General features: G+C 52.4%; 1 protein-coding gene across 1 annotated transcript in view, besides 4 other annotated features; it reads right to left on the bottom strand.

The window, feature by feature from the left end:
• NBDY (negative regulator of P-body association) overlaps positions 1 to 23,036 on the bottom strand; it is an 89,937-nt gene that overhangs the window by 22,689 nt on the left and 44,212 nt on the right. The gene's annotated exons all lie outside the window — the stretch shown is intronic.
• Positions 13,043 to 13,122: an enhancer, noted in NCBI's record as "active region_29697". NCBI's record gives its function as "activates an Ori minimal core promoter by ATAC-STARR-seq in GM12878 lymphoblastoid cells {active_cell/tissue: GM12878}" and the evidence as "EXISTENCE:reporter gene assay evidence [ECO:0000049][PMID:35858748]".
• Positions 13,782 to 13,921: an enhancer, noted in NCBI's record as "active region_29696". NCBI's record gives its function as "activates an Ori minimal core promoter by ATAC-STARR-seq in GM12878 lymphoblastoid cells {active_cell/tissue: GM12878}" and the evidence as "EXISTENCE:reporter gene assay evidence [ECO:0000049][PMID:35858748]".
• Positions 16,732 to 17,630: an enhancer, noted in NCBI's record as "H3K27ac-H3K4me1 hESC enhancer chrX:56805294-56806192 (GRCh37/hg19 assembly coordinates)". NCBI's record gives its function as "activates a minimal SCP1, AML or CMV promoter by ChIP-STARR-seq in primed H9 embryonic stem cells {active_cell/tissue: H9 hESC(primed)}" and the evidence as "EXISTENCE:reporter gene assay evidence [ECO:0000049][PMID:30033119]".
• Positions 17,631 to 18,528: an enhancer, noted in NCBI's record as "OCT4-NANOG-H3K27ac-H3K4me1 hESC enhancer chrX:56804396-56805293 (GRCh37/hg19 assembly coordinates)". NCBI's record gives its function as "activates a minimal SCP1, AML or CMV promoter by ChIP-STARR-seq in naive and primed H9 embryonic stem cells {active_cell/tissue: H9 hESC(naive and primed)}" and the evidence as "EXISTENCE:reporter gene assay evidence [ECO:0000049][PMID:30033119]".

The following is a 23,036-nucleotide window of genomic DNA, read 5'->3' as shown; positions in this document are numbered from 1 at the left end:
CCTAGCCCAGTTGACCCTGACTTCCAGGCTGATCCTGACCTCCCCAAACAAAAGTGAATGAAAAGTAAAAAGAGTAAAGAAGAAAAAAGTGAAGGGAGAAAACCTCCAAAACTACACAAAGAATCAGAGTGAGCAATGAAGTTGAGAGTGAACTGGAATGCAGAGTGCTCCAGGTGGGCAGCTGGCAGCCCAAGTGGCCTCCTGTGGGCTCACAGAGAGGGAGCCATCAGCCAGGAGAAAGAGTCAGTCCCATAATCCCAGATCTCCACCACATCCGCACAGAGGCCTGTTAGGCCAGGGGGCTGCCCTGCTCCCCGCTGCCCCCACCCCAACCCCATCCTGAACATTATGCCAACAAATACTGGGAAGTCAGACAGAAAGGGACAAGAAAGATGAAGAGGGAACCGGAAACCTGAAAAACTGCCCACTGAGAGCGGCCTAGAGGACCAGACACAGGTGTGAATGAAGGTGTCTGGGCAGACACTTATGAGCATGGGTGGGGATACATGGATGTGCCTGAGGACCTATGCAAGCACAGATGAAGACAGGAAAAAGTTGAGACATAATGGGGGTTAAAAGTTAAAAACGAGAACCTCTGAAACTCAGAGTCACAATGCCACCCCTAAAGACACAGTCCAGATCTTCCTGCATTCTTTTATTCTCGCGTTTTCCCTAGGCAGGGCCAGAGGTGCGCCCGTGGTGGATGCTACCTACATATGAAAAAAGGACCTGCATTTGTTGACAATTAAAAGAAATCGGGTGAAGCCTGTTCCATGGTCATGTGGGTCTTCTCCACGGAATGCCCAGAGAGTGCAGGCCCATACACGAGATTGACGTTCCTCTTGTGAGAGTGGTTCACGCACCCCTGATTGTGGGAATCATTACCCATGGGGTAAATTTTCTGTCCTGTGAAACTCTGCCTGTTCCCAGTGCAGCCTACACATCAAGAAAGACTTGTAACAAGCAAAGACAGAGAACAGTTGCAATATTCAGAGAGCATTGTGTTCCAAGCTGCTGCCCAGGCACTGAGCAGCATGGGTAGCATATGTAACCTTTAGAGCAACACGGTCATGGCTTCGCATCCCAACATGGGCTTTGTATGATGGACCACGTCAGGCTTTCTTATGTCTGCCTGGAGACCCTAAAGGGCCGGCATAATTTGTCCTCGACCATCTCATTCATTTTCTGGGATGAATATCCAGCAAGCACCAGAGTTTACCTTGAGGACCCCAGAGAGCTCTGTATCAAACCAAGGCACAATTGCCCAACCACAAATTAAAACACTCCACATAAAATCTCTCCTTTCACACGCAGCACAGCAACACAGACAGGCCCAGGTGAAAGCGAGCTACCCATGCACTTTGGCAGAATGACCAAGATGCCAGAACAACTAACTGGTGAACCACCACGTTCCAGTAAGCATGCATGCTCTATCAGACATGCCAAGTGGCTCTCTCTCCAGAAGAGCCAACTGTGAAATTCACCCAGAAATACCCCTCCCACTTCTGGGCACGAATGAGTGCCTGGGCTCCAGTGAGAGAGGTCGCTGAAGGTCTCAGACAAGAGTCCCTCCCATCCAGTCCCATCACAAGAAATATCTGGCCCGAATCCCTGCAGCTGGATGGGTCAACAATGTATGGATACCTGTTTGAACTGGCTGCTTTCCATCCAAGCTTTTAACCTTTCAGCAAGAAAAAGACTGCTGCCTAGAGACAAGTGTGGTGTGCACCAGCATTCGGCCTGGTCTCTTCTTAGGAGACCTGTGCAGATTCATAGAGGAATCGGCAGGGGCCCACACGCAGGCCCACTCACCCACACACCCCTCCCCCTGTACCCCCTCACACTGCCCCCAGTGCAACCTACCCCCACCATGCCACCGCCTAAGGGTGGGATGTATTGAGGATAGGATCCTCTAATTCACTGGGACCCCTGCCCAGAGAAGAATCTAGAGGGAAGGGGGAAGGCAGAGAACCCTCCTACTGTTGCAGGTTTCCGCAAAGTGACCTCGTAGGTGGGGAGACCTGCTATAGGTGAGGTGGGTACTCCTTGGACAGTTTCTTTCTTTGTTTCTTTGCTTTTGTTTTTTTGTGTTGGTTTTGTTCAGTTGGCAGGAAATGGAGAAAGACGAAGGCACAGTGGGGGAAGAAGAAGACATGACTGCCATTTGTGGAGTCGCAGTGCCATCCAGCAGAAGGTGTTTCTGAACATGACAACAGGCTGCGGAAACACTTGCCTTCTGCTAGGCACCGAGGTCAGCAAAAATATGCGGGGCTGGGTGGACTCTGCCTGAGCCAGGGTTTCCCCGACCAGGGTTTAGAGCCCTAGAACAAAGCGTACCTGCCGTTGGGACCCCTTGGAGAAGCAGCTACTCTAGAGGCCCAGAGACAGAGCAGCCATGCAGCCTGCAGACCAGTCAACCCACAGGGTGGAGCTGCCCCAGCAGCCATTTTGAGATGTGCATAAGGGAAGCCACTGGCAACTGATGGATGAGAATGGGGCTGTTTACCCTGGTCTCTTTTGTGGGCAGCTCCGAGGTGCCCTTGGGGGGCCACAGGGGGAACAGGGAGCCCCTACCCTCCCGGGAGGAAAAGGAGCTTCAGGATGCTGAGTGTGGGGTGACTCATGCCTGGCAGTTCCTGGAGACTGCCAGGGGAAGCCATTTTCTGTCCTATGAAGCTCTGCTTGCTCACAGCCGGCCTGACTGCCCTTTCCTAAAGACAGCTGTGGAGCCAGGGTGCCATCCTAAGAATGAGCCCAGGCGAAGGGCCAGCAAGGGGTTCCTCTCTCATCCAGCTTCAGTCTGGGGGCCACACGCCACCATCTCTTTTGTGCCCCTCGGATTTCCCCAGCAGTTGTGCCCAGCTGCCTCCCGTTTCCAGAAATAGTTTCCGCTTGATGGCAGTATGGCTCCACAAATGCCAACTACTACCTCAACTGCCCCTCCAAGCTGAGGCCCTCCATGCTTTCCCATGTGAAAAAAGTAAAGAGGAAGGAGAAAAAAAAGACAAGGAGAAGACAAAGGAACCAGCCACCTGGTCCCAGGTTGACCACCAAATTTAGGGGACCCTAGGACCAAGGACCTGTAGACTGGAGATCCTGCAGAATGCTGTAGAGGCAGCCAGCCTTTGCCCTTCCTTTGGTCCTCTCCAGGTATTATGGCTCCCACCAGTGCAGAAAGTAAAAGACAAAGGACACATAATCATGGCCTCTGGGAAACCACAGGAGGACTGGGATCACAGGGCTGCCACCCCAGGACAAGGCGCTGGCCACTCAGCTGGATTACAAAACAATTTTCCCCAGAACTGAGGGTCCTCCAAAGCCTGGAGCTGCAGGTAGAGTTTACCACCTTGGGATGGCACATGGAGGTCACCAGAATCCCGGAGTCTCCCTCACGGGGGACACTCAGCAACTCACTCAAGTCTGACTCTGCTCAGGCTGTCTTGGCTTTTACACAGGCGGGGTGGGAGGATGGTGGCTCAGGGAGGCTGAGGAAGGCCACCACGTGCCACAGATTCTCATGGCATCCCATAGGGACAAGGCTCCTGAGGGGACTTTCTCTGCCCCTACCCTGGTTGCAGGGTCCGTTTTTAAGCAGCTTGACCCAGGATGCTCCAGTTTCACACCTGCTGCTTGGGCCTATCTGATAACAGACTTCCCACATTCATTCTCAGGAGAAGGCCCTAGTTGCCCAATAAATGGCATGATGACCCAGGCCTGGAGCCAGGAATGCTCGCCTGTCTCACATTCTGCTTTGCACATTTAGAACCAGTGTGGAAGAGATTGTGGGCAGTTTTGGGCCTGTGGTGGGGTGTGTGTGTCTGTGTCCAATAATGCTTGAGCTCACACCCCTTTGCTAGTGTGAGTTAACTTGTGTGTGTTTGTGTGTGTGTGTGTCTGCTTGGGCGTATTTGACATGAATGTTTGTGTCTGCACGTGCATGTGTCTCTTTGTGTGCATGTGTTTGTGATTTTATTTCTGGTTGCAGGGTCCCTTGTGAGTAAGTGCATTGTGTCTGTGGTCTGTGGGTGCCTGCCTGTGTGAGTGAGAGTAGGCAAATGAACACGTGGCAGAGACACCCTGCCTGCACACCCTGATATCCAGATCAATGTGTTCACATGGCTTGACTGGAAAAAAAAGAGACAGAGGACAAGTTGCCAAAGCTCCTAATGGCTCAGGATTACACACTTCCAACATCCTTAAGGAGAATGGGAAATAATGGCAACCCATGAGGTACGAGGTAAGGGTGCGTTCACCACGACATTTTACTTAAATATAACATGTGGGCAGCTTTTTGGTGGACCAGAGGGACTAAACTGATGACCTTCATCTGTGCTCCTGTAAGAAAGAAAGTGAAGCTTTCTCCAGGCCTAGTGCTGCAGACAGACATCCAGCATAACCAAGGAGCAAAAGAAGAAGCAGTCTCCTAGAACACTTGCCCACCCAAATCCAAAAGTGAAGTGAAAAAGAGAAGCATAAGAAGAGGCAAAAGCAAAGAAAAAAAAATTAAAAAGAAAAAAAAAGAGACAGAGGAGGAGGAGGACGAAGAAGAAGGAGAAAGAAAGGAAGAGGAAGAGGAAGAAGAAGAAGAACAACAACAACAATAAGAAGAAGAAGGAGGAGGAGGAGGAAAAATAGGAGTAGAAGAAGATGGAGGAGAAGATGAACTGGAAGAGGAGGAGCAAGAGGATAAAAAAAGGAAAATTAAAGAAAAAAAGTAGGAGGAGGAAGAGGAAGAAAAATCAGAAGGAGAACAAGAACAGAAAGGTCCATGCCACTGTAGTAGTCCTGAAGTATCCAGTTCAGGAAGACGTCAATGCATGGTGACATACATAATGAGGAACAAGGAGCCACTGGTCATGTTCCGCTTAAAGGACAAATAATCAGGAAGCTTCTTTTCGTTGGGATCTTTCCTGAGTGGAATCAAAACTTTGATCCACAAATAGGCCTACAGAAGCTACAGAGGACACAGGTGCAGGTTGAACATTGCCCTGAGAATGTCATCAGCCAACTGCAAAGAGCTACCCTGCCCCAAGTCTACAAGGCCAAGGCAGGGAAGGACCCCCCAAAAAAGAGGAAGATAATAAATGGGGATGAATCGGACACCAGGGAAAAGAGGTAGTCACCCACCAATGGCAATACGGAGACAGAGCAGAAATGGGAGGGAAATGCCAATTTCTCCCCACAGGGGTCAGCTAGAGTTATCCTAATTTCCTTAGGAAAAGTAAGCCTGTTTTCCCTAAGGGTGACCCCTCCCCCAGTAGACCATGACTTCCAGGCTGCTCCTGACCTTGCCAAACAAAAGTGGACAAAACGTAAAGACAGTGAAGAAGAAAAAAGTGAAGGGAGGAAAACTCCAAATGTACACGGAGAAACAGAGTGAGCAATGAGGTTGAGAGCAAACTGGAATGCAGAGTGCCTCAGGTGGACAGCTGGCAGCCTTGTGAGTGGCCTTCCGTGGCTTCACAGAAGAAGAGCCACCAGCCAAGAGAAAGCGTCAGCCCCTTAAGACTGGGTTTGCACCACATCTGCACAGAGGCCTGTTGGGCCAGGAGGCTGCCATGCTCCCCACTGCGCCCACCCCAACCCCATCCGCACGATCTGCCAGCAAATATTGGGAAGTGAGGCAGAAAGCGACAAGAAAGGTGAACAAGAGGGAACCTGAAAGCTGAGAAACTGCCCCTTAAGAGTTGCCTAGACAACCAGATCTGGGAGTGAATGGTGTCTGGGCAGGTGCTTGTTAGTATGCATGGTGAGATGTGTATGTATCTGAGGACCTTTGGAAGCACAGATGAAGACAGGAAAATGTTGAGACGTAATGGGAGTTAAAAGTTAAAAACGAGGACCTCTGAAACTCAGAGTTGCCATGTCACTCCTAAAGACGCAGTCAGATCTTCCTGCATTCTTTTCTTCTCCCATTGTACCTAGGCAGGGCCGGAGGTGCCCCGTGGTGCATGCTACCTACTTATGAGAAAAGAATCTGCATTTGTTGACAAGTGACCAAAAGGGGGTGACTCCTGTTCCATAGTCATGTGGGTCTTCTTCCCAGAATGCCCTGAGAGTAGAGGCCCACACACGAGATTGACACTGCTCTTGTGATGTGAGAGTGGTTCACACACCCCTGAGTGTGGGAATCAATACCCATGGGGTGAATTTTCTGTCCTATGAAGCTCTGCTTGTTCACAGTGTGGTCTACACATCCAGGAAGATTTGTAACAAGCAAAGAAAGAAAACATTTGCAATATTCGAAGAGCTGTGTGTTCCATACTGCTGCCCAGGCATCAAGCAGCATGGGTAGCATATGTAACCTTTAGAGCAACGCGGTCATGGCTTCGCATCCCAAAATGGGCTCTGTATGATGGCCCAAGTGAGGCTTTCTTATGTCTTCCTGGAGACCCTAAAGGGGCAGCATAATTTGTCCTCGACTGTCTCATTCATTTTTCTGGATGAATATCCGGCAAGCACCAGAGTTTAGCTTGAGGACCTCAGAGAGCTCTGTATCAAACAAAGGCACAGACACTCCACCACACCCCCCACCAACACACTCCAGGCTCAACCTCCATTTCGACACGCAGAACAGGAACAAAGATAGGGCCCAGGAGAAGGCAAGCACTGTCTGGGCTCTGGCTACCCATGCACATGGGAAGAATGACCAAGATGCCAAGGCAAATAACTGGTGAACCACCACGTTCCAGTGAGCATGCACGCTCAGTAAGACATGACAAGTGGCTCTCTCTCCAGGAGAGCCACCTGTGAAAAAACCTGGAAAATCCCTCCAACCCCTGGACCCCTATGAGTGCCTGGGCTCCAGAGAGAGAGGTAGCTGAAGGCCTCGAACAGGAGTCAGTCCCATGCAGTCCCATCTCAACAAACATCCGACCCAACTCCCTGCTGCTCCATGGCTCAACAATGTGTGGATGCCTGTTGGACCTGGCTGCTTTCCATCCAAGATTTTGTCCCTTCCCCAAGAGGAAGAGTGCTACCTAGGGACAAGTGTGGTGCATGCCATCATGAGGCCTGGTCTCTTGCTTTGGGGACCTGGGCCAATTCCTAGAGGAATCTGCAGTGGCCTGCATGCAGGCCCACACACTCACACATCCCTCTCCTGTACCCCATCATACTGCCCCCAGTACAACCTACCCCCACCATGACACAGCCCTAAGGGTGGGATTTCATGAGAACAGACTCCTCTGGTTCACTGGGTACCCTGCCCAGAGAAGAATCCAGAGGGAAGGAGGGAGGCAAAGAACCTCCTACTGTTGCAGGTTCCCCCAAAGTGACCACGTAGGTGGGGATCCCTGCTGTAGGTGAGGTGGGTGATCCTTGGCCAGTTTCTTCGTTGTTTCTTTGCTTTTTGTTTTTGGCATTTGTTTTATTCCGTTGGCAGCAAATGGAGAAAGACAAGGCAAGGTGGGGGAAGGAAAAGACGTGACTGCCATTTGCGGAGCCACAGTGCCACCCAGAGGAAGATGTTTCTGAACATGACAACAGGCTGCAGGGACACTCGCCTTCTGCCAGGCACAGAGATCAGTGAAAATGTGCGGGGCTGGGTGGACTCTGCTTAAGCCAGGGTTTCCCCAACTGGGGTTTAGAGCCCTAGAACAAAGAGTGCCTGCCACTGGGACCCCTTGGAGAAGCAGTTACTCTAGAGGCCCTGACACAGGGCAGCCAGGCAGCCCCAAGACGAGTCAGTCCACACAGTGAAGCTGCCCCCCAGCCATTTTGAGATACGCATAAGGGAAGCCACTGGCCACTGACAGCCAGAGAATGAAGTGGTTTACTCTGGTTTCTTCTGTGGGCAGTTACAGCTTGCCCTCCTTGGCTGGGGCCACAGTAAGGCCAGAAGGCCCCTATCTTCCTGGTAAAAAAAAAAAAAAAGGAGCTACGGGGTGCTGAGTGTGGGGCGACTCATGCCCGGCAGTTCCTGGAAACTGCCAGGGGAAGCCATGGTGGGCTGCCCCAACTGCCCTTTCTTACATGCAGCTGTGGAGCCAGGGCACCATCCTGGGAATGAGCCCAGGCCAAGGGCCAGTGAGGAGCTCCTCTCTCATCCTGCTTCAGTCTGGGGGCCCCATGCCACCATCTGTTTTGTGCCCCTGGGCTTTCCCCAGCACTTGTGCCCAGCTCCCTCCCATTTCCAGAAACAGTTTCCACTTGATGGCAGTATGGCTCCACAAATGCCAACTACAACCATAACCTTGCTTCTCTAAGCTGATGGTCTCTGCCTTCTCCCATGTGAATAAAGAGGAAGGAGAAAAAAATAAAAAAGATAAGGAGAAGAGAAAGGAACAAGCCACCTGGTCCCAGGCTGACAACCAAACTCAGGGGACTCTAGCACCAAGGACCAGTAGCCTGGAGACCCTGCGGGAATGCTATGGAGGCAGCCAGCCTTTGCCCTTCCTTTGGTCCTCTCTAGGTTTCATGGCTCCCGCAGGTGCAGAAAGTAAAAGACAAAGAACACATTATCATGGCCTCTGGGAAACCACAGGAGGACTGGGATCATAGGGCTGCAGCTCCAGGACGAGGCGCTGGCCACTCGGCTGTCTTATACAAGGATTTGCCCCCAGACTAGGAGACTTCCCAAGGCCTGGAACTGCAGGTAGAGTTTGCCAACTTGGGATCATAAATGGAGGTCACCAGAATGGGCCACTGGGGCCACCCACTCAACAGGCAGCTACAGGGCCTGAGGCCAGAGTCTCCTCACAGGGGACACTCAACACCTCACTCAAGTCTGACTCTGCTTTCACACAGGCAAGGGTGAGAGGAGGGTGGCACAGGTTGGCTGGGGAAGGCCACCACACACCAGATTCTCATGGCATCACACAAGGACAAGGATCCCAAGGGGACTTTATCTACCCCTACCCCAAAGTGGGGTCCCTTTTTAAGCAGCTTGACCCAGGATGCTCCAGTTTCACACCTGCTGCTTGGGCCTATCTGATAACAGACTTCCTGCATTTATGTTCAGAAGAAGGCCTTAGTTGCCCAATAAATGGCATGATGACCCACACCTGCAGCCAGGAATGCTTGTTTGTCCCCCGTTCCCCTTTGCACATTTAGAGCCCATGTGGAAGAGATTGTGGGTAGCTTCAGGCCTGTGGTGGTGTGTGTCTGTGTACAACAATGCTTAAGCCCACGCCCCTTTGCTAGTGTGAGCTTACTTCTGTGTGTTTGTGTGTGTGTGTGCGTGTGTCTGCTTGGGCTTGTTTAACGTGTGTGTTTGTGTCTGTGTGTGCATGTGTCTGTGTGCATGTGTGTTTGTGATTTCATTTCTGGTTCATGTTCCCTTGTGAGTGCGTGCATTGTGTCTGTGTCTGTGGTCTGTGGGTGCCTACCTTTGTTAGTGAGAGTCAGCAAATGGACGTGCAGAGACACCCTGCCTGCACACACTGAAATCCGGATCAATGTGTTCACATGGCTGGACTGGAAAAAAGGAGAGAGATGACAACTTGACAAATCTCATAATGACTCAGAATTACACACTTAGAGCATCCAGAAGGAGAACGGGAAATAATAGTGAGCCATGAGGTACTGGGTGAAGGGGGCATTCATTCACCACGACATTTCATTTAAAAGTAACATGTTGGCAGCTTTTTGGTGGACCAGAAGGACTAAACTGGTGACCTCAATCTGTGCTCCTTTAAGAATGAAAGTGAAGCTTTCTCCAGGCCTAATGTTGCAGAGGAACATCACACATCACAAAAGAGCAAAAGAAGAAGCAGTCTCCTAGAACAATTGCCCGCCCAGATCCGACAGTGAAGGGGGGAAAAAAAGCTGAAGCAGAAGCAAAAGCAAAAAAAGAAGAGGCAAAGGAGGAGGAGGCAGAGGCACAAGAAGAAGAAGAAGAAGAAAAAGAAGAAGCAGAAAGAAGGAGAAGGAGGAGAAAGAAGAAGGAGGAGGGAGGAGATGATGGAGGAGAAGGAGGAGGAGAAGGAGAAGAAGAGGATGTTGGAAGAGAAGGAGCAAGAGGATAAAAAAGAGGAGAAGAAGAATTAAAGATGAGGATTAGAAGGAGGAAGATGAAGAAGAACCAGAAGCAGAAAAAGAACAGAAAGTGGGAGGTTCACGCCACTGTAGCTGTCCTGAAGGATCTAGTTCAGGAAGACCTCAATGCATGGTGATGTACACAACAAAGGACAAAGAGCCATAGTCACAGCCCTTTAAAGGACAAACAACTAGGAAGCTTCTTGTCAATGGGATCTCTCCTGAGTGGGATCAAAACTTTGATCCACATATGGGCCTGCAGAAGCTACAGAGGACACAGGTGCAGGCTGAACCTTGCCCTGAGGATGTCATCAGCCGACTACAAGGGGCCACCCAGCACCAAGTCTACAAGGCCAAAGCAGGGAAGGACCCCCTACCCCACCTCCAAAAAAAAAGATAATAAACAGGGATGAATCAGACACCAGAGAAAAGAGGGAATCAGCCACCCATGGCAATATGGAGAGAGGGCAGAAAGGGGAGGGAAATGCCAATTTTTCCTCACGGGGTCAGCTAGAGTCCTTCTAATTTCCTTAGGAAAAGTAAGCCTGTTTTCCCTGAGGGTGTCCCCGCAACCAGTCAACCCTGTCTTCCAGGCTGCTCCTGACCTCCCCAAACAGAAGTGGACAAAATGTAAAGACAGTGAAGGAGAAAAAAGTGAAAGGAGGGAATCTCCAAAAGTACACAAAGAATCAGAGAAATCAATGAGGTTGAGAGGGAACTGGAATGCAGAGTGCACCAAATGAATAGCTGGCAGCCCTGTGAGTGACTTCTTGTGTCCTCACAGAAAAAGAGCCACCAGCAAGAAGAAAGTGTCAGCCCCTTAAGCCCGAGTCTGCACCGCGACTGCATAGAGGCCTGTTGGTTCAGGAGGCTGCCCTGCTCTCTACTGCCCCAACCCCAACCCCATCCCGCACACACCATCAGCAAATATTGGGAAGCCAGACAGGAAACAACAAGAAAGGTAAACAAGAAGGAAAGGGAAAGCTGAAAAACTGCCCCCTGAGAATTGCCTAGACGACTGTACCCGGAGGTGAATGAAGGTGTCTGGCCAGACACTTGTGAGTGTGCGTGGGGATACGTGTATTTGTCTGAGGAACTATGGAAGCACAGATGAAGATGGGAAAAAGTTGAAGCGTGATGGGAGTTAAAAGTTAAAAACGAGGTCCTCTGACACTCAGAGTCGCAATGCCACCCCAAAGACACAGTCCAAATCTTCCTGCATTCTTTTCTTCTCCCTTTGTCCCTAGGAAGGGGCAGAAGCACCCCCTGGTGCATGCTACCTACATGTGAAAAAAGAATCCGCATTTGTTGACAAGTGACAGAAAGGGGGTGACTCCTGTTCCATGGTCATGTGAGTCTTCTTCCTGGAATGCCCTGGGAGTGCAGGCCCACACCCGAGATTGATGTTCCTCTTGTGAGAGTGGTTCACACTCTCATGAGTGTGAGAATCATTACCCGTGGCATGAATTTTCTGTCCTATGAAACTCTGCTCATTCCCAGTGCGGCCTACACATCCAGGAAGATTTGTAACAAGCAAAGACAGAAAACATTTGCAATATTTGAAGAGCTGTGTGTTCCATGCTGCTGCCCAGGCACTGAGCGGCATGGGTAGCATATGTAACCTTTAGAGCAACGCGGTCATGGCTTCGCATCCCAAGAAGCGGGCTGTATGATGGCCCGCGTCAGGATTTCTTACGTCTGCCTGGAAACCCTAAAGAGCCGGCAAAATTTGTCCTCGACCGACTCATTCATTTTTAGGGCTGAATATCCCGCAAGCACCAGAGTTCAGCTTGAGGACCCCAGAGAGCTCTGTATCAAACCAAGGCACAGTTGCCCTACCACCATCCCACCCAACACATTCCAGGATCCACCTCTACTTCCACACGCAGAACAGGAACAAAGACAGGCCCAGGAGAAGGCGAGCACTGTCTGGAACCTGGCTACCCATGCACTTATGCAGAATGACCAAGATGCCGGGGCAAATAACTGGTGAACCACCACGTTCCAGTGAGCACGCATGCTCAGTCAGACATAACAAGTGGCTTTCTCTCCAGGACAGCCACCTGTAAAACAACCTGGAATACCCCTCCCACCCCTGGGCACAGATGAGTGCCTGGGCTCCAGAGAGAGAGAGGGAGCTGAAGGCCTCCAACAGGAGTCCTTCCAGTCCAGTCCCATCCCAACAAACATCCAGCCAAACTCCTTGCTGCTCCATGGGTCAACAATGTGCGGAAGCCTGTTGGACCGGACTGCATTCCATACAAGATTTGGTCCCTTCCCCAAGAGGAAGAGTGCTACCTAGGGACAAGTGTCGTGCACCTCAGCATACGGCCTGGTCTCTTGCCTAGGGGGAGCTGAGCACATTCCTAGAGAAATCTGCAGCAGCCTGCATGCAGGGCCACACATCCACACACCTCTCCCCCTGTACCCACTCACACTGCCCCCAGTGCGACCTACCCCCACCATGCCACAGCCATAAGGGTGGGATGTATTGAGGATAGGCTCCTCTGGTTCACTGGGACCCCTGCCCAGAGAAGAATCCAGAAGAAGGAGGGAGGCAGAGAACGCTCCTACTGTTGCACCTTCCCCCAAAGTGACCACGTAGGTGGGGAGCCCTGCTGTAGATGAGGTGGGTGCTCTTTGGCCCGTTTCTTTCTTTGTTTCTTCGCTTTGTGTGTGTGTTTTTGTTTTATTCTGTTCGCAACAAATGGAGAAAGACAAAGGCAAGGGAAGGGAAGGAAAAGACGTGACTGTCATCTGTGGAGCCACAGTGCCATCCAGCGGAAGGTGTTTCTGAACATGACAACAGGCTGCAGGGACACTTGCCTTCTGCCAGGCACAGAGATCCGCGAAAATGTGCGGGACTGGGTGGACTCTGCCTAAGCCAGGGTTTCCCCGACTGGGGTTTAGAGCCCTAGAACAAATCGTACCTGCCATTGGAACCGCTTGGAGAAGCAGCTACTCTAGAGGCCCCGAGACAGATCAGCCAGGCAGCCTGAAGACCCGTCAGCCCACAGAGTGGAGCTGCACCAGCAGCCATTTTGAGATACGCATAAGGGAAGCCACTGGCCACTGACAGCCAGAAAATGGGGCCGTTTAATCTGGTCTCTTTTGTGGGCAGTTCTGGGATGCCCTTGGCTGGGGCCACAGTGGGGCAAGAAAGCCCCTATCCACCCAGGAAACAAAGGAGCTTCGGCGTGTTGAGTGTTGGGCGACTCATGCCCGGCAGTTTCTGGAGACTGCCAGGGGAAGCCATGGCTGGCCGCCCCGACTGCCCTTTCTTACATACAGCTGTGGAGACAGGCCGCCATCCTAGGAATGAGGGCAGGCCAAGAGCCAGCAAGGAGTTCCTCTCTTGTCCCGCCTCAGTTTGAGGGCCACACGCCACCATTTACAGCCCCATTTACAGCCCGAGTGGAAGACATTGTGGGCAGTTTCGTGCCTGAGGTGTTGTGTGTGTCTGTGTACGATAATGCTTAAACCCGCACATTTGTACTAGTGTGAGCTTACTTCTGTGTGTGTGTGTGTGTCTGTGTGTATCTGTGTGTGTGTCCGCTTAGGCGTGTTTAATGTGTGTGTTTGTGTCTGTGTGTGCATGAGTCTCCATGTGCGTGTGTGTTTGTGATTTAATTTCTGATTGGGGGGTCCCTTGTGAGTGTATGTATTGTGTCTGTGTCTGTGGTCTGTGGGTGCCTGCCTCTGTGAGTGAGAGTGGGCAAATGGGCATGTGGCGGAGACACCCTGCAAAAACTGAAATCCGGATCAATGTGTTCACATGGCTGGACTGAAAAAAAAGGAGACACGGGACAACTTGCCAAACTTCCTAATGGCTCAGGATTACACACCTAGTGCATCCACGAACAGAACAGGAAATAACAGCAAGCCATGAGGAACTGGGTAAAGGATCTGTTCACCATGACATTTCACTTAAAAGCAACATGTGGGAAGGTTTTTGGTATACCAGAGAGACTAAACTGGTGACCTTCATCAGTGCTAAATTAAGAACAAAAGTGAAGCTTTCTCTAGGCCTAGTACTGCAGAGAGACATGCTGAATCACCAAGGAGCAAAAGAAGAAGCAGTCTCCTAGAACACTTGTCTGTCCTGATCTGAAAGTGAAGGGAAAAAGAGAAGCAGAGGCAAAAGCAAAAGACAAAAAAGAAGAAGAGGCAAAAGAAGAGGAGAAGGAAAGAAGAAGGAGGAGGAGGAGGAGAAGATGGAGGAGGAAGAGTAAGAAAACAAAAAAGAGAAGAGGAATTAAAAGAGTAGGAGGAGGAAGAGGAAGAATAACCAGAAAGAGAACAAGAACAGAAAGTGGGAGGTCCATGCCACTGTAGCTGTCCTGAAGGATCTAGTTAAGGAAGACCTCAGTGTGTGGTGACATACACAATGAGTGACAAGGAGCCCCAGGTCACCTCCCGTTTAAAGGACATACAAACGAGAAGCTTCTTGTCGATGGGATCTTTCCTGAGTGGGATCAAAACTTTGATCCACAAATTGGCCTGCAGAACTACAGAGTACACAAGTGTAGGCTGAACCTTACCCTGAGGATGTCATCAGCTGACTGCAAGGGGCCACCAAGCCCAAAGTCTACAAAACCAAGGCAGTGAAGAACCACCCAAAAGAAAAAGATGAAAAACGGGGAGGAATCGGACACCAGGGAAAAGAGGTAATCAGCCACCCATGGCAATATGGAGACACGGCAGAAAGAATAAGGAAATGCCAACTTCTCCTCGCAGGGTTCAGCTGGAGTCCTTCTAATTTCCTTAGAAACAGTAAGCCTGTTTTCCTTAACCATGTCCCCGTGCATAACTGACCCTGCCTTCTTGGCTGATTGTGACCTCCATAAACAGAAGCGGACGAAAAGTAAAGACAGTGAAGAAGAAAAAAGTGAAGGGAGGAAAACTCCAAAAGTACACAAAGAATCAGAGTGAGCAATGAGTTACAGAGTAAACTGGAAAGCAGAGTTCATCATATGGAAAGCTGACAGCCCTGTGAGTAGCCTCCTGTGTCCTCACACAGGATAAGGCGCCAGCCAGAAGAAAGCATAAGCCCCTAAATCCCGGGTCTGTACCGCGTCTGCACAAAGATCTGTTGGGCCAGGAGACTGCCCTGTTCCCTGCTGCCCACACCTCAACCCCATCCCGCACACTCCATCAGCAAATATTGGGAAGGCAGAGAGAAAGCAATAAGAAAAATGAACAGGAGGGAACGTGAAAGCTTAACAACTACCTCCTGAGGGTTGCTTAGATGACGGGAAACAGTTGTGAATGAAGGTGTCTAGGCAGAAGCTTGTCATTACTGGAGAAGATACTTGTATGTGCCTGAGGACCTATGCAACCACAGATGAAGACAGGATATAGTTCAGACGTGATTGATGTTCAAAGGTAAAAACAAGAACCTCTGACACTAAAACTAACAACACCAAAGTTCCTGCGTTCCTTACTTCACCCGATGTCCCAAGGCACAAAAGGAGGGGCCCCGAGGTGGATGGTATACACTTATGAGAAAAGGACACACATTTGTTGACAAGGAAACAGTTGAGATGTGATGGGAGTTAAAAGTTAAAACCGAGGACCTCTGACACTCACAGTCCCAGTGCCAACCCTAAAGACGCAGTCCAGATCTTCCTGCATTCTTTTCTTCTCGCGTTCTCCCTAGGCACCGCCAGAGGCGCACCCTGGTGCATGCTACCTACATATGAGGAAAAAAAAAAAAAAAAAAAAAAAAAATCCGCATTTGTTGACAAGTGACAGAAAGGGGGTGACTCCTGTTCCATGGTCATGTGGTTCTTCTGCCCGGAATGCCGTGAGAGTGCAGGCCCGCTCACGAGATTGACATTCCTCCTTGTGAGAGTGGTTCACACACCCCCAGCGTGGGAATCATCACCCGTGGGGTGAATTTTCTGCCCTAAGAAGGGCTGCTCGTCCCCAGGGTGGCCTACACATCCAGGAAGATTTGTAACAAGCCAAGACAGAAAACATTTGCAATATTCGGGGAGCGTTGTGTTCCATGCTGCTGTCCAGGCACCCAGCGGCATGAGTAGCCTATGCAACCTTTAGAGCAAGGCGGTCGCGGCTTCGCATCCCAACATGGGCACTGTATGATGTCCCGCATCAGGCTTTCTTATGTCTGCCTGGAGACCCTAATTATGGGCGGCATAATTTGTCCTTGACGGTCTCATGCATTTTCTGGGCTGAATATCCGGCAAGCACCAGGGTTTAGCTCGAGAGCCCAGTGAGCCCTCTACCAAACCAAAACACAGCCCCCCGCCCGAGCCCCTTCTCCCCCAAAATACTCAAGGCTCAACCTCCACCTCCACACGCAGCACAGGAAATCAGACGGGGTCCAGGCGAAGTGGGGCAGGCTGGGCCCTGGCTACCCATGCACTTGGGTACAAGGACCAAGATGCCTGGCAACTAAGTGGTGAACCACCACGTTCCACTGAGCACGCGTGCTCCGTCAGACATGCCAAGAGGCTCTCTCTCCAGGAGAGCCACCTGTGAAACCCACCCGGCATGCTCCTCCCACCACTGTGCACAGACGAGTGCCTGGGCTCCAGAGAGGGAGGGAGCTGAAGGCCTCAGACAGGAGTCCGTCCCGTCCAGTCCCATCATCCCAAGAAACATCCGGCCCGACTCCCTGCAGCTCCATGGCTCAACAAGGTGCGGATGCCTGCTGGACCTGGCTGCTTTCCATCCAACTTTGATCCCTTCCCCAAGAGGAAGAGTGCTACCTAGGGACAAGTGTGGTGCGCACAGGCATGCAGCCTGGTCTCTTGCTCAGGCGGCCTGCGCAGATTCCTAGAGGAATCTGCAGCGGCCCGCATGCAGACCCACACACCCACATATCCCTCCCCCTGTACCCCCTCACACTGCCCCCAGTGCGACCTACCCCCACCGAGCCACAGCCCTAAGGGTGGAATTTCTTGACGTTCTCTGGTTCACTGGGAACCCTGCCCGGAGAAGAATCCAGAGGGAAGGAGGGAGGCAGAGAACCCTCCTACCGTTGCAGGCTTCCCCAAAGTGACCACCTAGGTGGAGAGCCCTGCTGTAGGTGAGGTGGGTGCTCCTTGGCCGGTATCTTTCGTTGTTTCTTGGCTTTTTTTGTTTTTGGCGTTTGTTTTATTCTGTCGGCAGCAGATGGAGAAAGATAAAGGCAAGGTGGGGGAAGGAAAAGACGTGACCGCCATTGGCGGAGCCACAGTGCCATCCAGCGGAAGGTGATTCTGGACATGACAACAGGCTGCAGGGACAGGGACACTTGCCTTCTGCCAGGCACCGAGAAGAGTGAGGATGGGCGGGGCGGGGTGGACTCTGCCTAAGCCAGGGTTTCCCCGACCCGGGCGTAGAGCCCTAGAACAAAGCGGACCTGCCATTGGGACCCCTTGGAGAAGCAGCTACTCTAGAGGCCCCGAGACAGATCAGCCAGGCATCCCGAAGACCAGTCAGCCCACAGGGTGCAGCTGCCCCGGCAGCCATTTTGAGATACGCATAAGGGAAGCCACTGGCCACTGACAGCCAGAGAACGGGGCCGTTTACTCTGGTCGCTTTTGTGGGCAGCTCCGCGATGCCCTTGGCTGGGGCCACAGTGGGGCCAGAAAGCCTCTATCTTGCCGGGAAATAAAAAAGTTTCGGAGTGCTGAGTGTGGGGCGACCCATGCCTGGCAGTTCCTGGAGACTGCCAGGGGAAGCCATGGCGGGCCGCCCCGCCTGCCCGTTCTTACATACAGCTGCGGAGCCAGGGCGCCATCCTGGGAATGAGCCCAGGCCAAGGGCCAGCGAGGAGTTCCTCTCTCGTCTCGCTTCAGTCTGGGGTCCCACACCACCCTCCCTTTTGGGCTCCTGGCCTTTCCCCAGTACTTGTGCCCTACAGCCTCCGGTTTCCAGAAACGGTTTCCGCTTGATGGCAGTATGGCACCACAAATGCCAAGTACAACCACAACCCTGCCCCTCCAATCCGAGGGCCTCCGCCCTTTCTCGTGTGAAAAAAGCAAAGAGGAAGGAGAAAACATAATAATAAAAGAAAGACACGGAGAAGGGAAAGGAACCAGCCACCTGGTCCCAGGTTGACCGCCAAACTCAGGGGACCCTAGGACCAACGACCAGCCGGCTGGAGAACCTGCGGGAATGCGGTGGAGGCAGCCAACCTCTGCCTTTCCTTTGGCCCTCTTCAGGGATTTTGGCTCCCGCTGGTGCAGGAAGTAAAAGACAAAGGACACATAATCACCGCCTCTGGGAAACCACAGGAGGACTGGGATCATAGGGCTGCCGCCCCAGGACAAGGCGCTGGCCACCCAGCTGGCTTACACAAGGATTTGCCCCAGGACCGGGGGTCCTCCCAAGGCCTGGAGCTGCAGGTAGTGTTTACCACCTTGGCATGGCACACGGAGGTCACCAGAACGGGGCCGAAGGCTCAACAGGCAGCCACAGGGCTGAGGCAGGAGTCTCCCTCACAGGAGACACTCAGCAACACACTCAAGTCTGACTCTGCTCAGGCTGTCTCGGCTTTCACACAGGAGAGGGTGGGAGGGGGGCGGCTCAGGGAGGCCTGGGAAGGCCACCCCGCGCCACAGATACTCATAGCATCACACAGAGCCAAGACTCCAGGGGGACTGTCTCTGCCCCTCCTCCAAAGTGGGGTCCCTTTTTAAGCAGCATAACCCAGGATGATCCAGTTTCATACCTGCTGCTTGGGCCTATCTGATGACACACATCCCGCATTCATTCTCAGGAGAAGACCCTAGTTGCCCAATAAATGGCATGATGACCCAGGACTGGAGCCAGGAATGCTCGCCTGTCTCCCGTTCTGCTTTGCACATTTAGAGCCAGCGTGGAAGAGGTTGTGGGCGCTTTCGAGCCAGTGGCGGTGTGTAGGAGTCTGTGTCCGATAATGCTTGAGCTCACACCCCTTTGCTAGTGTGAGCTGACGTGTGTGCGCACGTGCGTGTGTTTGTGTATGTATGCGTGTGTCTACTTGGGCGTGTTTAACGTGTGCGTTTGTGTCTGCGTGTGCATGTGTCTGTGTGTGCGCGTGTATTTCAGTTTGGGTTGCCGGATCCCATATGATTGCGTGCCTGTGTACCTGAGTCTGCGGTCTGTGGGTGCCTGCCTGTGTGAGTGACAGTGGGCAAATGAACACGTGGCAGAGACACCCTGCCTGCACACATCTGGATCGATGTGTTCACATGGCTTGACTGGAGAAAAAGGAGACAGGGGACAACTTGCCAAAGCTCCTAATGGCTCAGAAAGGCACACTTAGAGCATCCACAAGGACAATGGGGAATAACGGTGAGACATGAGGTACTGGGTAAACGGTGGGTTCACCACGACATTTCACTTAAAAGTAACACGTGGGCAGCTTTTTGGTGGACCAGAGGGAATAAACTGGTGACCTTCATCAGTGCTCCTTTGAGAACAAAAGTGACGCTTCCTCCAGGCCTAGTGCTGCAGAGGGACATGTCGAATCACCAAAAAGCAAAAGCAGCAGCAGTCTCCTAGAACACTTGCCCGAACAGATCTGAGTGTGAAGGGAAAAAGGGAAGAAAAAGCAGAAGCAAAAGCAGAAAAAGAAGAAGAGGAAAAGGAGGAGGAGGAGGAGGAGGAGGAGGAGGAGGAGGCGGAGGAGGAGGAGGAGGAGGAGGAGGAGGAGGAGGCAGAAAAAGATTAAGAAGAAGAAGAAAAATGAGAAGAAAAAGAAGAAGGAAAAGGAGAACGAGAACGAGAAGAAGGAGGAGGAGGAGGAGGACAAAAAGGAGGAGCATGAGGAGGAGGAGAGGAAGTTGGAGGAGGAGGAGCAAGAGGTAAAATAGAGGAGAAAGGGAAGAATAAAAGTAGAGAAGAAGAAGAAGAAGGAGGAAGAGGAAGAAGAATCAGAAGAACAAGAAAGAGGGAGGTCCATGCCACTGTAGCTGTCCTGGAGGATCTAGTTCAGGAAGACCTCAATGCATGGTGACATGCACAACGAGGGACAAGGAGCCACCAGTCACGTCCCGCTTAAAGGACGAACAACCAGGAAGCTTCTTGTCGATGGGATCTTTCCTGAGTGGGACCGAAACTTTGATCCACAAATCGGCCTACAGAAGCTACAGAGGACACAGGTGCAGGCTGAACCTTGCCCTGAGGATGCCATCAGCCGACTGCAAGGGTCACCGAACCCCAAGTCTACAAGGCCAAGGCAGGGAAGAGCCCCCCCCCCAAAAAGAGGAAGGTAATAAACGGGGAGGAATCAGACACCAGGGAAAAGAGGTAATCGGCCACCCACGGCAATATGGAGACAGGGCAGAAAGGGGAGGGAAATGCCAATTTCTCCTCACAGGGGTCAGCTAGAGTCCTCCTAATTTCCTTAGGAAAAGTAAGCCTGTTTTCCCTAACGGTATCCCCGCGCCCAGTCGACCCTGCCTTCCAGGCTGCTTCTCACCTCCCCAAACAGAAGTGGACGAAAAGTAAAGAAAGTGAAGAAGAAAAAAGTGAGGGGAGGAAAACTCCGAAAGTACACAAAGAATCAGAGTGAGCAATGAGGTTGAGAGCGAAGTGGAATGCAGAGTGCCCCAGCTGGACAGCTGGCAGCCCTGTGAGTGGCCTGACAGAAAAAGAGCCACCAGCTAGGAGAAAGCATCAGCCCCTTAGGCCCGGGTCTGCACCGCGTCCGCCCAGAGGCCTGTTGGGCCAGTAGGCGGCTCTGCACCCTGCTGCCCACACCTCAACCCCATCCCGCACACTCCGTCAGCACATATTGGGAAGCCAGGCAGAAAGCGACAAGGAAGGTGAAGTGAACAAGAGGGAACCCGAAAGCTGAAAACCTGCCCCCCTGAGAGTTGCCTAGATGACCGGCCCCGGCTGTGAATGAAGGTGTCTGGGCAGACGCTTGTGAGTATGGGTGGGGATACGTGTACGGGCCTGCCTCAGGACCTGTGGAAGCACAGATGAAGACAGGAAACAGTTGAGATGTGATGGGAGTTAAAAGTTAAAACCGAGGACCTCTGACACTCACAGTCCCAGTGCCAACCCTAAAGACGCAGTCCAGATCTTCCTGCATTCTTTTCTTCTCGCGTTCTCCCTAGGCACCGCCAGAGGCGCACCCTGGTGCATGCTACCTACATATGAGGAAAAAAAAAAAAAAAAAAAAAAAAAAATCCGCATTTGTTGACAAGTGACAGAAAGGGGGTGACTCCTGTTCCATGGTCATGTGGTTCTTCTGCCCGGAATGCCGTGAGAGTGCAGGCCCGCTCACGAGATTGACATTCCTCCTTGTGAGAGTGGTTCACACACCCCCAGCGTGGGAATCATCACCCGTGGGGTGAATTTTCTGCCCTAAGAAGGGCTGCTCGTCCCCAGGGTGGCCTACACATCCAGGAAGATTTGTAACAAGCCAAGACAGAAAACATTTGCAATATTCGGGGAGCGTTGTGTTCCATGCTGCTGTCCAGGCACCCAGCGGCATGAGTAGCCTATGCAACCTTTAGAGCAAGGCGGTCGCGGCTTCGCATCCCAACATGGGCACTGTATGATGTCCCGCATCAGGCTTTCTTATGTCTGCCTGGAGACCCTAATTATGGGCGGCATAATTTGTCCTTGACGGTCTCATGCATTTTCTGGGCTGAATATCCGGCAAGCACCAGGGTTTAGCTCGAGAGCCCAGTGAGCCCTCTACCAAACCAAAACACAGCCCCCCGCCCGAGCCCCTTCTCCCCCAAAATACTCAAGGCTCAACCTCCACCTCCACACGCAGCACAGGAAATCAGACGGGGTCCAGGCGAAGTGGGGCAGGCTGGGCCCTGGCTACCCATGCACTTGGGTACAAGGACCAAGATGCCTGGCAACTAAGTGGTGAACCACCACGTTCCACTGAGCACGCGTGCTCCGTCAGACATGCCAAGAGGCTCTCTCTCCAGGAGAGCCACCTGTGAAACCCACCCGGCATGCTCCTCCCACCACTGTGCACAGACGAGTGCCTGGGCTCCAGAGAGGGAGGGAGCTGAAGGCCTCAGACAGGAGTCCGTCCCGTCCAGTCCCATCATCCCAAGAAACATCCGGCCCGACTCCCTGCAGCTCCATGGCTCAACAAGGTGCGGATGCCTGCTGGACCTGGCTGCTTTCCATCCAACTTTGATCCCTTCCCCAAGAGGAAGAGTGCTACCTAGGGACAAGTGTGGTGCGCACAGGCATGCAGCCTGGTCTCTTGCTCAGGCGGCCTGCGCAGATTCCTAGAGGAATCTGCAGCGGCCCGCATGCAGACCCACACACCCACATATCCCTCCCCCTGTACCCCCTCACACTGCCCCCAGTGCGACCTACCCCCACCGAGCCACAGCCCTAAGGGTGGAATTTCTTGACGTTCTCTGGTTCACTGGGAACCCTGCCCGGAGAAGAATCCAGAGGGAAGGAGGGAGGCAGAGAACCCTCCTACCGTTGCAGGCTTCCCCAAAGTGACCACCTAGGTGGAGAGCCCTGCTGTAGGTGAGGTGGGTGCTCCTTGGCCGGTATCTTTCGTTGTTTCTTGGCTTTTTTTGTTTTTGGCGTTTGTTTTATTCTGTCGGCAGCAGATGGAGAAAGATAAAGGCAAGGTGGGGGAAGGAAAAGACGTGACCGCCATTGGCGGAGCCACAGTGCCATCCAGCGGAAGGTGATTCTGGACATGACAACAGGCTGCAGGGACAGGGACACTTGCCTTCTGCCAGGCACCGAGAAGAGTGAGGATGGGCGGGGCGGGGTGGACTCTGCCTAAGCCAGGGTTTCCCCGACCCGGGCGTAGAGCCCTAGAACAAAGCGGACCTGCCATTGGGACCCCTTGGAGAAGCAGCTACTCTAGAGGCCCCGAGACAGATCAGCCAGGCATCCCGAAGACCAGTCAGCCCACAGGGTGCAGCTGCCCCGGCAGCCATTTTGAGATACGCATAAGGGAAGCCACTGGCCACTGACAGCCAGAGAACGGGGCCGTTTACTCTGGTCGCTTTTGTGGGCAGCTCCGCGATGCCCTTGGCTGGGGCCACAGTGGGGCCAGAAAGCCTCTATCTTGCCGGGAAATAAAAAAGTTTCGGAGTGCTGAGTGTGGGGCGACC

The sequence above is a fragment of the Homo sapiens genome, chromosome X, assembly GCF_000001405.40.
Source record: "Homo sapiens chromosome X, GRCh38.p14 Primary Assembly".
Classification (NCBI taxonomy): Eukaryota; Metazoa; Chordata; class Mammalia; order Primates; family Hominidae; genus Homo; species Homo sapiens.
This window is presented reverse-complemented; position numbering and strand designations above follow the sequence as displayed.